We start from the raw sequence: 15,862 nt of genomic DNA, 5'->3' as shown, positions 1-15,862 counted from the left end.
AATTAAAATTTACAATATTTTCTTTTTCTTTGTTCTGAGGTAAAACAGATGCAACTTTGATCTCTAATACTCATTTAGGACTATCATAGTTTTTTAAATGTTAAACATTCCTTTGTTTAAAGGCATTATGTGTTTAATAGATTGTATTTTGTTTTGTTTAATGTTTTTACATAGCACAAATTAAAATGGACAGCTATGGCAGACATTACTGGGGTCCTCCATTGTCTGTTTTCCCTGTTCTTTGTGAGCATACACTTCCCAGCCTCCTTGCAGCTGGGTGAGGTCATGAGACTAGTTTGACCACTAGAAGTGATATCATTCATCTCCAGGCTGAGGCACCTAAAAGCCTCTTCAGTTCTCTCTTCTGCTGTTGTTGTAACTTGGAAATTATTCACTGAGATCACAGAGGCACAAGAAGGAAGCAGAGTAGATCCCTGAGTCGCTACTTAGAATGGAGTACCTGGAAAACCTCTGGGCCTCCAACCAACTTTGCCTGAGAGAGAAATCAAACTTTCTTGTGTTAAGCCATTGACATCTGGGATCATATGTTACTGCATCATCACCTATGCTAGACCAACTTACATGACAGTTCTTTGTCAGCTTCCTCTCCCACATTTACTTTATTAGACTTTGAAATCTAAATATCAGGATTACTCTTGAGTAAAATATTTAAAAGCACGCACACACAGAAATGCACACATTTGAAAAGGGAAACCTTATTAGATGAGTGGTTTGAAACTTTGGTAATATCCCTTACAACAATTAGAATTTCCCAATAGCAGGGCCAGAAGGTAGTAATCTAAATGAGCTAGGATGAGTGATGTCTGTCTTTTTAAAGTTCTCCAAAAACTGAAACACTGCCATTTCCTTGAGTGACCCATGTCAGTTCTTATCTCAATATTCAGAAGTCTTCCTTAGGTCCAAGAAAGATTTTAAATGACCTAAAGAGGAATTTAGGACCCTCTTTAGGTCGTTTAAATCCATTCCTTCTTATTTTATACCTGTAGAAACAGAGATTTAAAACTTGTTCATTGCAGCCTTCCTCATTACAGCTCTTCATCTAGGAGGCTACCACCCTTCCTGTCACTTACCCTTCCCTTCTGTAACCTGACCAGTAGAGATGTACTTGACCTTTCCCTGTAATCCTCTAACAAGATGCTGCCTAAAGCTGGCTAGAATGGAAAGATGATTTGATTTTCCAGCATGCATGGAGCTGTCTCTTTGTTATTACCTGCCAGTGTCATGTTGCTGCTGTTTTGCTGTCTTGTGTCCATGCAGATGTCTCTTAATTATGCATTTGTGTTCATAATTTTCCTTCCTACTCATGTTCTTATTCCTGCCTGGAACACCTCTAGCAGAAGGTGAATTTGACTAAGGTCAAATTTTTGCAGCCTTTTTCTACTTCTGGATTTTGTGTCATGCTTAGTAAGGCCTTCCCCCACTATAAAATTGTTTTTTAATTCCAAAAAAGTAAAAGCGTTTTTGACCTTGGGCCTGACCCAGATCATACTTTTCCTGGTTCCTGATCACCTCTGCCATAATTAATTTTGTCTTCCTTGTCCTTTTTCCTATATACTATATGCAATTATGGTCATTTGTATAAATATCCTATCATTCTACCTAAACAGAAAGTTCTGAAGGTCGACAGTTGCATCCTTGTCTCCTGACAAGAGTGTCCTCCGCTTCACAAATCCCTAATAAACATTTGGTTGAGTTTCTCATATGTATTACCTGTTCTTCCCTGCCTTTACTCGCATGAAGTTTGCTGTCATGAATGTGGAATTTCACTGTTTTTTAGAAAAACAATATGAGTTTTGTTCCTATTTACTAAGTCTCTGAAATTTTTAAAGTAGTTTTTTCTCACTTTTTCTAATACCTACCAGTATAATTTGTAAAAAAAAAAACACCTCATTAGAATGGTCTCCAGGATGAAAATAATGACCACAGGGAATTAACAATCTGTGGATTTTGTAATTTTAATATTCTGTGTAAGTGTGATGCATAGATATCCAGCTTCCTCATCACCAAGCTGAGCTCACAGAGCGTGTGCTGGCAAAAGGACTTGGGCAGCATGCTTTTGTGCCATCCCTCTCTTGAATGCAATTAGGCCTTTGAGGACTCTGCATGCCTCCTGCCATAACACACACCCCATTCTACTCTAATTGCCTACTTAATTGTCTTCTCTCTGATTGCCAAGCTCTTTTAAGGCAGGATCCATGTGTATCTTGGTCACCATGTTGTCCCCAGACCCTAGCACAGTGACTGGCAAATAGTAGGAGCTTATTTAATGAGTGAATGGATATATGAATGAATGGGTGAAGCATGTATTCATCTCAAAAATATAGTTGTCTTGTCCTGGTGTATAGTTTCAGAAGAGGGAGCCCGCCTCTTGGTCATTTTTACTCCTTTATTTCCTAGATTCATAGCAGTTCAAAGCATTTGTATTGTATCATATGGAAAATGGCATATCAGTGGCTCACCCACATTAGATAGAACTTTGAGATATGCTCTAGGAATAAAGATGATTTTGCAGTCTTCCCTTTACCGCTTTCTCCCCACCTTTTGAATTTTAACTGGTTACTTAACTAATTTGCGCTGAAGTTAATGGTGGAAGCATGATTGTTTCTATTAATATTACCAATAGCTAACACTTATTGAGTGTTTGCTATGTAACAGGCTCAGTGTTAAATGATTCACATTAATGCTCATTGGATTCTCCCAATGGCCCCATGCAGGTAGGCACTATCATTATGCCCTAGGTTACATATAAGGACCTCAGGCCTCAAGTCATAGACCTAGCAAGTGTCACAGCCAGAGTCTGACCCCAGGCAATCCATTTTAGACTCCATGTTATGATGTTAATTCTTATGAAGTTGGTAGTGATGTGTCACATCTGTTCCAGGTGAAGAGTAATCTCTTGCTATGTTTCAGCTGTCTTCTTTATTTCATTGTTGATCACCTGTGAATTGCCTCTTATATGACCATGCTGATCATGAGTAGATGAGAGAGTAGTGTACCCATTTTTAAGAAACTGAGGCATGGAAAGTTGAAGTGACTTGTTCGTGGCCACACTGGGTTAGAATGTCACTGCTTCCACTTGGCTACTGGGGGCCCCAAACTGTTAGACTTGCTAATTGACTTTTTGAAGGATATTGAGGTCTGGGGAGACCATCTGCCTCCCTACACGCTCTGAGTTCTGTGTGATGGAAACTGAAGGCTGAGTGTTATTCATTTGCTTGTATTTTATTTCTCTTACTGAGAAGTTATTCCAGGTCTCATGATTTTCACCATGAAAGGTCTTCTGGGAACTAGAGAGAAGCATTCTGAAAGAAGTTATTAAGCATTATTAATACAATTACATACAACAAAAGACATAATTTAACTTCCCCACATCCAACAAAGAAATTCATTTGAAGCTTCAGGAACTGCAGCTGGAAGGGCAGAGCTCATCAGAGTGGGTTCCCCAGGCGGGGGAGTGTGGGCAAGGAGCCGTGCTAGCTGCTTTGTCCTTTGGGACACTTCTGTGCATGATGGAATATTCCTCCCTCCCAGCCTCCCCAACCTTTCCCTCACCCTTTACTTTCACTCACAGTGCTTCCTTATCACAGGCACAGAGTCCAGAATATTGCCTGGCTCTTGCCTCTCTCCTGGCCCGGGATACTGCACAGGCAGCATTGAAGGAATATATGATTTTAAACAATTAAAGATGACCATGGAAATACTCAGATGCTAGGAACAGTGATCAGCCTAGTAGATAGTATGCCTCGGTGAATTTTTCTAACTTCATTCAAAATATCAGAAATAGCTATTGAGTATGTGATATTGTGTTAATCTTCACCATAGTTCTATTCAATATTTTACTTTCTTTAATTGCAGTAGCCCATAAGGCCCTTGAAAGCAGAGACTGTGTTTATACCTAGCCTTTAGAGCTGTGCATGGCATAGAGTACGTGCTTAGTAAATATTTATTGAATGAGTGAATGGTACAGATGAGGTTATTGAAGATCCCACAAGTTAAGTTACTTGCCTAAGATCACACTGCTAGCAGGAAGGAAAGGCAGGATTTGAACACAGGGCTCTCCAAATGTATAGATTCCTTTCTTCCAGATTGCTTGGTTAGGCCGCCTAGTGGTGTATAAAAATGGAGCTCGGAGACCCCAAAGGTATTCAACAAAAGCTCTATCTGAGGTCTAGGAAATGTGGATTCTGACCCATCCTTGCTGAAATCCTGGTGTGACTTTAGAAAAGTCCTTTCTCCAGTTGTCTCCATTTTCTAATCTGTAAAATGAGGAGATGGAAGCAATGCTCTCTGAGGGTCTCAGGGTCTTCAGATGCCCTGGGAAGGTTTATGCTTTGTCTTCTTCTGCATGCAGTTGGAATTGGGGTAAGGGGTTAAAGGGCAGCTGACTGACTCACCACCCAAGCACGTGAGGAAAGGAGTCACTTGTGCTTTATTTCGAGGTGCACAAAAACTCAAAGGTGACATAGTCTCAGGCCAAAAAACAAGCAACACCCGAAAATGAAAGTTGAAGAGAGAAGAGAAAGAAAAAAAAAAAGGAGAGGCATTTTTGAAGGCTTGACACAGCATTTAATTAAAAAAAGAGTGCTCTGATTCCACTCCTAGGTTGGTGCAGCATATAATCTGAAACAGGCGCTCAGGTTGATAATTGTGCCCAGATCTGAACCTTGGCACCTAAGAGCACAGCTTTTAAGAAGAAAAAAAATAGGCATGTGTCTTTAAAGCCTCTCTTCTTATATGTGATTTTTTTCATGCTCATTTGGAGGTTACGTAGCTGGGCCTTTGCATCCAGCAAAGGCTTCCTTCCCCTCTCCCTGGCTTGGGGATTATTGATTTGGAAGGCAAGGCTAATTTACATGTAAATAAATCTCAGCACTGGGCAGCAGGATGGGACGTCCAGATGCCGTGACTGACTTGCTGACATCACAGCTTCATTAGCATGCGGAGGATGCAAGCACTGCAACAGCGACTTCTCAGGCACCACCAGCAGCGCCACCGAGAGTTATTATTATTTTTTGACCAAGCAGCACATTTCCTGGTTCAGTGGCTTGAGCTCTGTGAGCAGCTGACTAGTCACCCCGGGTCTGGCTCAGGATCAGCTGGTGACGCTGGGCTGGAGTCTATGACTTCTTCCTTCAGATTGTCATGAAGAAGGGGAGTTAAGAGGAAACTGGGGGTCCTCCGGAAGGCGATCTGAGCACTCAGGCTGATCTAGAGGAAGAGTAGAAGTCATACTTTTTTTCTCTTGCTTGGTGAATTCCCCAGCAGAGTCTGGATCCAGCAGTGCTGTTTTCCCTGAGGGAATGTGGAGCAGCTCGGCTTGAGTCTGTTGCCAGCTTCAGGAAGGGTTCAGACTGAAAAGGGGGTTTGAGGAGAAGATGCTTTGGCTGCCTGAGGTCCTGCTTGCGTTCTTAGAAGTCAGATCCAGGGAGAAAGTGAACTGGGACAATTGACAAGCTCCAAGGGTCTGGCAGAAGCTTCCTCCGAGACTGGGCATTTCATCCTCCCTGGAGGTGGGTAAGAAATTTGCTCTAATTCACAAATTAAACAGCAGTATATTTTCTAAGGAGGATGAGAAAGCCAGATCTAGGGCCTTTGCACTGGGGGAGGATATTGGGTCTTCGTTTTCTTGGCCAGGTAGCATTTTTGGTGGCCCTGCGACCCCTTTTGCCTTTTCTATGCTGATTAGAAAGCTCGATTACAAAGTGTTATGTCACAGCTCTAGGGAGTCCTGAAGAAACGCTTAAATCTTGATGCTTAAGAAGAAGCAGCGTTTCTCTAAAAGTGTAGCTTTCTTTAAAAAACCATAATAATATGGGGAAAGGGGCTAACAGACCAAATACCTGATAGCGTTCATGTACAGTAGTCATTTCAACACATGATGTCAGAAACCATTAGGGGATCTGAGGAACAAGGACTCAGCTGAGACTTCCAGGTAAAGAAATGGCTTTCAAATTATTTAGGTTTAATTTTAGACACTGCTTTCAGATTAGAAATGGTGACAGAGCTTCAGAATATGACTGCATAGCCTGGCTGAACACATGATTCGGTTTGCCCTCTATGCTGGGTTTCTTGAGGGAGTGATCATAGTTAGTTCTCCTCACTCTTGGCTTCTCGAAAACCAATCATAGCATTACTAATTTGCCATGGGGGTCTTGCAATGAAATACAGATTTTTAATCCCATGGTTTTTTGTTATGTGGTCTTGGACTATGCTGGGGTCCAGTGGGACTTTTATGAATCATAAATAATCCAGGCTGGGCCAAATCACACTGAGGTTAGCGATCCATACCAGATGTGATGCCATCCGCTGGTCCAAATGTGGCTCTTGTCTAACTTAGGCACATAGATTATTTCCCCAGTGAGAGAGTTCTGCTTCCCATATCAATGCATGTATGAGCACAGTCAGGGGAGGGCTCCAGTGTGCCATGAATATGTAGACATAGACTGCCGTGTACTGAATCTGCAGCTGGTAAGGCTGTGATTTGCTTTGCCTGCACATCTCTTCCCAAAGAGTGTTTTAAACCATCTCAGTGAGACTTAAACTAAATGAAGCAGCCTTGCCTCTTTGCTAGAGGCCAAATTGGCTGCTGTAATCCTGCTCCTCAGAAGGCTTACTGCCTGCTGATGGCTTTCACAGATGGGTCAGGATGAGGGTCCCCAAGGGCTCCAGAGTAAGTCACAACTTTGACATAATTACCATATTTTGGAAATTTGGATTTTAATGCCTTGAGTGCTTATAAAGGTTTTGCCTTTCCATCAAATGCTCCTTCCCCTTGGGAATTCTGTTTTTCATGTGAAAATTAAAACATACTGGCTCCATCGGGCATCTCAGTCTATAAAGATTCACGGGGCAGCCAGAAAGAGTAAAATAGCATTGTTTGAAATGGTGTGTTTATAAAGATTTACCCATGAAATGTGAGGGAATAAAATAGAAATAGAGGAAGAAAGATGCATTTATGGAAGCTTAAAGAATGAGAAGGGAACTTAGAGGTTAGATAGTATGAGATGATATTTATCCAGGGCTCAGACTCTGGAGCTGGAAAGAGCTGAAGATACTTAAAGCTACCCATTCCTGCCAGTAAAGTGGAGAGAGCAATGGAATCTATAGTTAGGGTGATAGGTGTAAGGATTTAATGAGATGACCTATGCAGAGCACAGTGGCAGCCACATAGTAAATATTCAGTAAATATTAGCTGCTATTGTTGTTGTTGTTGTTGTCATTGTTACCATTTTGTCATTATCATTATAAGTGTTGTTGCTAAAAAACAGTATTGAAAAGGCAACATGTTCACATCCATTTGCCTGCAGAAAGGTTTTGCTAGCAGAAAAGATGCCATCTCTGGTACTGTTATATCCAAATGATTCCCACTCAAAGAAACTTTCCACCCTATTGATTGAGTTGACAGAATAAAGTATATTATCCAGAACTACTGTATTTCACAGAACTGAAAGTGACCAGCTGGTATAATGAAAATCATTTAGAACTAACTGGGGCTTAGGCAGCCTTAAAGAAGGCATCCTGTTTTGGCAGCTGACAAGTCACATGTAGAAAGCTGCGGGGTCCCAGTTGGAATCAATGCATTTCTAGATTTCTCTTCTGCTTCACCTATGCATGTGAGAGACAGTCCTTTTCTTTCTTAATTCTTTTCAGTGCAGATATTGAGCATTTTCTTCTCTATCCAGGGAGGCCATTGAATATGTGCTTAACCTGCTGGTTGGCTCCTCAGAAGTTCCAAGGCTGAATTTTTGCCACCATCTGGGTGCCTTCAGCTTATGGGTTGGCTGCTAAGGGAAAGGAATAGCCCTCCCCTGCCTGCCTGCCTACCATGGCCCAGTCTGTCTGCTTTTGTTTTGTGTCACTGCTATGGCACAATTTTGCCAGGCTCGTGGTCTGCCTCCTTCATGCCGGTGGGCCTACTTCTGTCACACAAGTGGACTGCTGTTTCTCCCTTTCCTCCCAAGATCTTTCTTTTTAATTTTGGGGAATTAGAACTCTGACACAGGGATCTGAAAGACAAAAGTGAATTACAAGAGTGAGAGGAGTCTGCCATAAAATTCTTTCCCAAGAAACTCGGAACTGGGAGTTGGTCGTTCCTGGTTGCTACTGATCTTTAGTAGAGTTGTGTTTTGCACGGAGAATAATATTTATACCTTAACCACAGCCCACCTCCCTTACTTCCTGATGGGAGGTATGATCTCAGGAGAGTTGCCTGACCTCTCTGAACTTTGGCTTCCTCATATGAATATTGGAAATAAAGTCCCCTGAATGCATGGGATTGCTGTGAAGATAGCGGCTATAATGCCCTTGCCCAATTCCTGGTACTGACTGGATGTTGAGCATATTTCCCAGTTAATCCCGATCTGTGAACAACAGGGGGCAGTAATTTTAATATTTATTTAACGGAGAAACTGAAGGCCAATAGAATTAAATTAGAAATCAATAACAACAAGGTATTTGGGAAATCCAAGTAAAATGACATAGCAGATGACAAACCGTGGTACCCGTCTAGTGCTTCTTTTAATAAACATCAGTTCCAAACACTCTGAATTTGAGAAGGGCTCAATGACCCAACTGCACTGCCTGCCTCGAATTAGCAGAAACCTCTTTATTTAGTAGCCCCCAGGCTGTGGTCATTTCTTCTGTGCTGTCTGTAAGCACACAAGAGTCAAAAGGCTCTGTCCCTCAGATAGGAATTCTGGGTGGCAATTGGATAAAGACTTTCTTTTGTGCTTAAAGATCCACTGAAACCTTTCTCTGTTCATTCCCTCCATGACTGTGGTGCTTATAAACAGGGAACTGCTGGTGACCATGAGCTATTTGCAAACTAAGAAGCTTGAGGATGAGATATTGGCCAAATCTGTTTTCTTTGTTGATGCTTTTGAGTGACATTTGCCCCTTTGCTCTGTCTTAACCTGTAAACATTTAAAATGAAATGTTCTGGTTTTTATGCTGTGTGTGTGCGTGTGTGTGTGTGTGTGTGTGTGTGTGTGTGTGTGTGTATGAATCAAGCAGGGGTGAAGATCTCTTTTGGGGATTGAGTCAGTCGAGTTTGGAGACTTCGTTTTCTTTTTTCTTTGGCCTATTGTCTGAGCAGTTTATTATTTGGCATCTGAAAACCATAGGCTTGCTTGTTGTGTTATTTCCCTGGGGATAAGGCAGAGGAGAAAAAAGCAAGGCTGGAGAGAGGGGAGAGAGTGTGTGAGTTTGGATGGAGCTTTAAGAGGAGGGGAGGGAAAGGAAGACAGAATGGAGAAGCAGCTGGGAGAATATCAGAGCAATTGCCAATCCACCACGAAAGTGCAAAGCTGAAGGTTCCCTTTGGGTGAAGTTGCAACTCAGAAGGCAACTCTGTTCTCCTTTAGCTAAAAACTCCTCTCCCCATCTGTCCTACAAAACTCACAGCGAAGCCATTTTAAATCCGAAAACCCTCCTTATGACTAAGCACTGCACATGTTTTCCACTAGAGCACCATGGACCATTTCTAAAAGTACATTAATTAAAAGGAGCAGATTTTCAAGTACAATATGAGCCTGCCTTTCCCTGGTGGGTGTAGGGGGTAAACTTTAGCGCATGTTTGGCTATGAAGTCTATAAAGATCAAATTGGCTGAACCAAGCACTCAGATATGAGTGTTGACTTGGAAGATGAAACCTAACACTCCAGGGGGCACAGAATCCAGAGATGTCGCTGGTTGGAACTGGAGGCATGAAGAAAATCAGGGCTGGCCTCGTTTGACAAAGCATTGCCAGAGTCATGCTCACTCAGAACAGCAGAGTGAACCTACAGGAGGAAGCAATAGTCGGGGGTTCTCTGATAGCTCCCTTCTTCCTGGTGCTAGTGTTTGAGCTGCTGTATGTGTTTGAGCTGCTGTATGTAAGTGTTTGAGTGCTGTATCCTGGGGCACTGAAGGCAGCACAGGAGCCCTTTCTTTATCTCTTTGGACATGGAGCAAGAGCCACTTCCGGTTGGTATGTTTTCCAACCCAGCACCCAGCCTGCCTCGAGTGATAGGTGGCTGACTTGAGTTGCCTCGATTCCTCTCACACTGGGAGTGCTATTGTCTTCAAGTCACCCTCCTCTCCTCGACTCCTTAAAATCAAACCTTGTAAATATTTTCCAGCCCCATCCAGGGTTAAGGGTAGCCAGGGCAGAAATTCTTAGCATTTCATTTCAACTGGGCAAGATGCCAATTTTTCCAGCTCTTTTCTTGGCATCCATTCATCAGTTATGAGTCCTTAGAGATGCCTGCTCATGAAAGTTCCAAGACTTAACTAAGAAACAGCCTATTTTCTATGGTCACAAAATCTGGTAAGGTTTTAAGGTAACTGTTAATATAGAAGGCAATGTATGTTTTGGGTGTCTATGTGTCTGTGTATAGTCTATGGTTAATGTTGATGTGGATGTATGATAACTGTCACAGACTGAGCGCCTACTGAGTGTTTGCTACGAAAGATGCTTTATGTAAACTTGTCTTGTTAATTCTTACAGCAATCATGCAGCTAGATATTATTGGTTCTATTTAGTAATTGAGAAATCAGGACTCCTGGAAGTTAAGTAACTCGTTCAAGCTTACACAGAGAGTAAAGAGTAATGCTGGGATTCGAACCCAGGATAATTAGAGTCCAAATCCTGTCCACCATTCTAGGCTTCTTTATACTTTTCATTATAATGTCCCCTGGGGATGTGTTTGTTTCTCTTATATAGCTCCTTTATGAATCCCTCATTTGAGAAACACCTCATTATTTAGCCATTGAATTAAAATCTCGTTGGTTGATCTTTGGTAAAGTTGGAAACACACAAGAGAATATGTCAGACTTGAAACAGAACATAGGGGTGTCTTCACCTTCTGCTTTTAATGTGGCTTTTGGAATGAAAGTGTGAGATTGCTTGGAAAGTCAGAAGACACCCTGAGATGAGAAGTAAAAACTGCAGGCAGGTGGAAGAAGTCCTTTGCTGGACTACAGGGAACATAGGGAATTCTTCTGGTCTAAACTTGTGGCTGTGGGCAGAGAGATGGGAGTTCGGAGAGAGGGAAGCCAAGCTTGTTGCTCTTGATCGCCAGTTGTGTGCACATCAGGTTCTAACTAAAATGTATGTTTCCGTTTTCTGAGCCTCAGTTCTTTCATCTTGAACATGAAGGTCCTAAATCAGGTGATCTATATGTTGTCTTCCAGCCATGACCTTGATGAGTGCAAACTTTCAGAATGAATTCAGCCTCATCAGGGAAGGAGTGTAATTTGCACTGTTGGCCACTCTTGGCGGGGAACTAAAAGGTCAAGTTTTAGATCAGGACCTGACTTCTCTGTGTTGTGAATATGTGCTGGAATATGAGAAGTGGTAGCCCCCCAGAGAATGGCGGGAAGCTTCCTGGAAGAACGTCTGACCTTTGGATGCTTTCCACTAGTGAAGAGGGGGTGTCAGTGGGCAGTGTGTTGGTGTTGCTCGTTCACTTTCAGAAGCTCTCCAGGGCTTTGTTATGTATGCAAGCATCCTACAGAGTGCTAGAGACCAAGGCTTCTCAAGTTTAATGTGCATCTACCTGGGGGCGTTGCTGAAATGCAGATTCTGAATTTTTAACAAGCTCCCCTGGGATGCTGATGCTACTCCTTCTAAACTACCTTTATAATAGGCATAGAGGAAAGAAAATTTGACTAAATTCAGAAAGTCCAGAGTCTAGTTCCAATTGTCACTTATTTGAGTAAACCTCAAATAAATCCCTCAGCTGCACCATGACTCAGTTTCTCCATCTGCAGAGTAATAAAATAATATTTAATATTTAATGATTACTGCGTGCCAGGCACTGTGTTCACTAGGTGTTCACTGTTTTATGTGCTGTATTTTACTTGATCCTTGAATTAGGAGGAAGGGTTTGTTACCATCTGCATTCTGCAGTAACTAAGCACAGAGAGGTTGAATAACTTGACCGAGGTCACACAGCTAGTTAGTGGCCAACTTGGGATTTGAATTCATATCACCTGACTCTGGAACCGTCACAACTTACAGACATAAGAGATGTGAAATATCTTGGGACTTACTGTGTGAATGTGTGTGTAATTATATTATATGTACAATTACAAATATTTCAGGTACTTGAGATTATAAGAAGTAGATGTTTCCCAGATGAGGTTTTATTGTTTTTAAGTAAAAAATGTTCTGATTTATATAAATTAAGGTAAAAGGCATTGTGAAGTTTCAAAGAGCACAGGTGTTTGCTCTGTTGTCACCTGGGGTGGGGAGGAAGTGGTACATGAAAGGAGTATTCTGGGGAATGAGGGGTTCTGGTTAACTGAGGTTTTGGCTATTTTAAATTAAATCCCAGTTCATTATCCGTCTTGGTTTTGTAAATTTGTACAGTATGACAGATACTTTTTCTGCCTTAATAGGAAAAGCAGGGTTAGCCCAACTGAGTATATCTTGTGATTCAGGCTGTGGCAGCCATGCAGATTATTGTCCTGAAAATGAATCCCAGTGATCCTATTTTGTAAGGAAGCCCGAAGAGGTTGATTGTGAACATTATCTGAGTTTGATATTTGTCACCTCACTAGACACCAGGCTGTTTGGACTTTACTCTTATAAATGTCCTGACCATATGATTAGTATGTCAAATATGTGGCACCTGTATCACCATGCTCCAGTCTCCTTAGTCCACTTCAGACCTCACAAATAATCGACACGTTTTTTTCTGTCCAGCCCCAATGCATCCCCAGAGTCCTTCTCAACACAGCACTGGAGGCAGCCTGTACCCATGAGTTACAGTTGGCCCAGGAGATTTACACTACATGCTAACCCAACCCTTGGATACCCCCTGGAAGTTGATTCTCTTTCCAGTTTAGTAAATACGTATTGAACACCTACCAATAGCCTAAGTGTGCTGGAATGAAACCCTATTTTCCATTTACTCTGTATTTTATTCGTTCTTACGAATGTGAATGTTCTGCAGGCTTACTGAAAGTTTTAGTTAATTACTTAATGGGTACAATGTACACTATTTACGTGATGGATATACTAAAAGCCCAGACTTCATCACTATGCAGTATATCCATGTATCAAAACTGCACTTGTACCCCCTAAATTTATACAAATTAAAAAGAAAGTTTAATTTTTGGTAAATTAAAGTTTTAATAGTCTTTTTTTCTTTCTTTCTCTGTAATATACATCCTTTTATTCTGATTAATACCTTAGGGCTCCTGTCCCTTTTCAGTACCAGTGATGTAGGGTCTTTCTCCAGGTCTCCTGCTGTGATGCTGTCAGAGGAATACCTCCTTTACAAGGGGCTGTTTTCTGTAGGCATCCTCCTGGCAGTCCAGCCATTGGTTAGGTAGTCAGGGGATATGAAGTGCGTGCTCCTGGCACAGCAACTGCATAGCCCTCAGCTACAGCTCTCCCCTTCCCCTGACAGCTTATCCAGCAAGAGTCAGAACTTCATTTAAATCGCTGCCTGAGTCTATTACTTGCTTTTGAGTTCATCATCTCAGAAGTTGCCAGGAAAGCCTGTCAAGACTAGAAGCTTGCCACGGACTGGAAAGATGACACCCCCACCCTTGCATCCTGTGGAGGTTGGGCCACTCCGAAGTGCCTGCCTCATTAGGAAGGAGGGTGAAAATGCACAGCAAAGAATTCACGTGCTCCTCTCTCAACAGGAGCTTCGATTCTTGCTAGACTGGCTTCTGAAAGGGGAATAAGTAGAAAGCAGCATAATCACAGGGCCTGACTGATCAGAAAGCTTGAACCTGCCTTCTTTTCACTGTGTCAGTTTGGCTGCCTAACCAGCTGCCTAAACACTCACGTTGTTTGCCCTTGTAATGCTTAAAAATGGTTTTAAATCCTGCACCACTGAATTGCTAAGATGCAGCATCCTAAATGGTAACTATGATATCATGTGCTATTTTGAATTTTTAAAAGAATGTTACAGAGAGTGAGAAATAGCAATTGAGCATCTGCGAGATGTAAGGCGCTGACTTTGGCCCTGTGGGTAGTTTAAAATATCACAGCCGGTCTTTTGCACTTAACCAGTTTTCCAAACCAGATGTTTTTAGCTTAGGATCCCTGGACAGCAAAGGACTGGACAGAATTGATGAACTTTCTGAAATTTAATGCAAAATTTTCTGTGAATGTGCATATGTCCATTTTTTAAGGGAGAGGATCCCAGCTTTCATCAGATTTTAAGGGCATCAAGTCACCCGAAAGGTTTAAAACTGCTAAGTTGGCTGGTAGGTTGTTGTAAACTCATCCAGAGAAATCTCTACAGGTTAATGTGAGACTGGAAAAAATAATGTTTTTCTGCCCCAGAGCAGATAGCCCAGAGAAATGCAGCATTTTTCTACATGATTACCCAGGAGCTAATGTTAAACCCTGCGGAGCTAGAAGGAGAGAGTTACCTGATTTTCTTCCATTCTGTAGATGAGTAAATTGACGGTCGTGGTCTCAGATGCCAAGGCCATAGGAGTTCTTGTTCCTTCTATCTCTCAGATAGTTTTTATTGTTCACTCAACAGTTTAACAACCTTTTGAACATTTGCTGTGTGCTAGGCCAGAGTTTTTCAGTATTTCTGTACTTGAGGCGTTCTTTCAAATACTTGACATTTTGCAGTACAGTAACAGAATTAAATTACTACACTATAGTTATGGTACATTGTCAGCTGTAATATATTTTTCTCTACCTCATCTTAAGCTTTTGCATACTTTCATTTAATTGAGGACAAAGGCAGTCTTTCTTTAATGTGATCTTGGCCAAACACTACTCGTCATGTAGTTGAATCACATTCTACATTTTTGACATCATTGTAGCAATATACATTTTCAGTTATTGTAAAAAAATAAATATGAAAAATAAAATTTACGCTTTGGTCATATCTTGTTAGTAGCTCACTGGTTGCAGTTAGATTTCAGACTAAGTATTAGTCAAAATTTCAAAGAGCTACTTATTGAATGCTTATTATTCTAGATAAAGGATTTTAAAATTTACATTACAATGGGAAAAGGTATTTTAGACACACCAACAAATAAAATGGCGTCTGATGTTAAGGAAAAGATGTCTTTGGTTGATGATGGGAATAGTGAAAAGCAGACCAGCTCCTGAAGTACTGAGGGAAGGGTGTTTTGGGCCGAGGAGCAGCTGCTGCAAAGATCCTAAGAGAGGGAAAGCCTTGGCAAATTCAAAGGACAAATAAAGACTGCTGAGGCTGGAACAAGATGGGGAATAGAGTAGAACAAAATAAATTTGGGGAGAGAGGAACAGACCAGGTTATATAGGGTCTTGTAGGCTATGGTTAAGGAGTTTGTGCTTCATTCTCACTGTTGTCAGAAGTTAATGGCACATTTTAAGCAGGAGAGCTGAGTGTTATCATCATTGTTTAAAAAACAAACGGTGGTGGAAATTAGATTCTAGAAGGGCAGGCATGGAGGCAGGAAATTAAGAAGTAGGCTATTGTAGTAGCTCAAGCAGGAGGTAATGGTGAGTTGGAGTAGGATAGTAAAGATAGAGGTGGTAAAAAGAGATAATGAATAAATGACTAAGACTCATCCCGTGCACCAAGGAAGTCCACGGTCCCGGCTCCTCCTTGTTCGTTTCGTCAACTATGCTAAAAGTGTGTAGGCGTTGCTACATCTAGCAGGCTTGGGACGCAGTGCGGGGGCTGGGATGGAGGAGGGGTACATCCTTCAACCAGCACCTTGTCAAATCGGAGTAAAACAAATTTTTTAATATTTTCAAAACCTTACTCCTGTAGACATGTGAATCCAATTCATCAAGGGCTTCTTTCCAAAAAATCATGAAACCAGGAAATGATATTTTCTTTCTGTGTACTTTCCTCCTTCCTTTCACTGCTGTAAGAATGAGGAAGCG

The 15,862-nt window shown here is 41.6% G+C and overlaps 1 protein-coding gene across 2 annotated transcripts in view, besides 1 other annotated feature; it reads left to right on the top strand.

Annotated features, from left to right (window-relative positions):
- PRICKLE2 (prickle planar cell polarity protein 2) overlaps positions 1 to 15,862 on the top strand; it is a 175,938-nt gene that overhangs the window by 37,733 nt on the left and 122,343 nt on the right. The window contains exon 1 of one of the 2 annotated variants that reach the window (NM_198859.4): positions 4,975 to 5,531. The exons of the other annotated variant lie outside the window; for it this stretch is intronic. The gene's annotated coding sequence lies outside the window, so the exon portion shown is untranslated. Of the gene's footprint in view, positions 1 to 4,974; positions 5,532 to 15,862 lie in introns of those variants that run through there. 2 annotated transcript variants of the gene reach the window in all.
- Positions 4,794 to 5,088: a silencer, noted in NCBI's record as "tiled region #502; K562 Repressive non-DNase unmatched - State 24:Quies". NCBI's record gives its function as "represses a minimal TATA promoter and a strong SV40 promoter by Sharpr-MPRA in K562 cells {active_cell/tissue: K562}" and the evidence as "EXISTENCE:reporter gene assay evidence [ECO:0000049][PMID:27701403]".

Source organism: Homo sapiens, chromosome 3 (genome assembly GCF_000001405.40).
Source record: "Homo sapiens chromosome 3, GRCh38.p14 Primary Assembly".
In the NCBI taxonomy this organism is placed as follows: Eukaryota; Metazoa; Chordata; class Mammalia; order Primates; family Hominidae; genus Homo; species Homo sapiens.
This window is presented reverse-complemented; position numbering and strand designations above follow the sequence as displayed.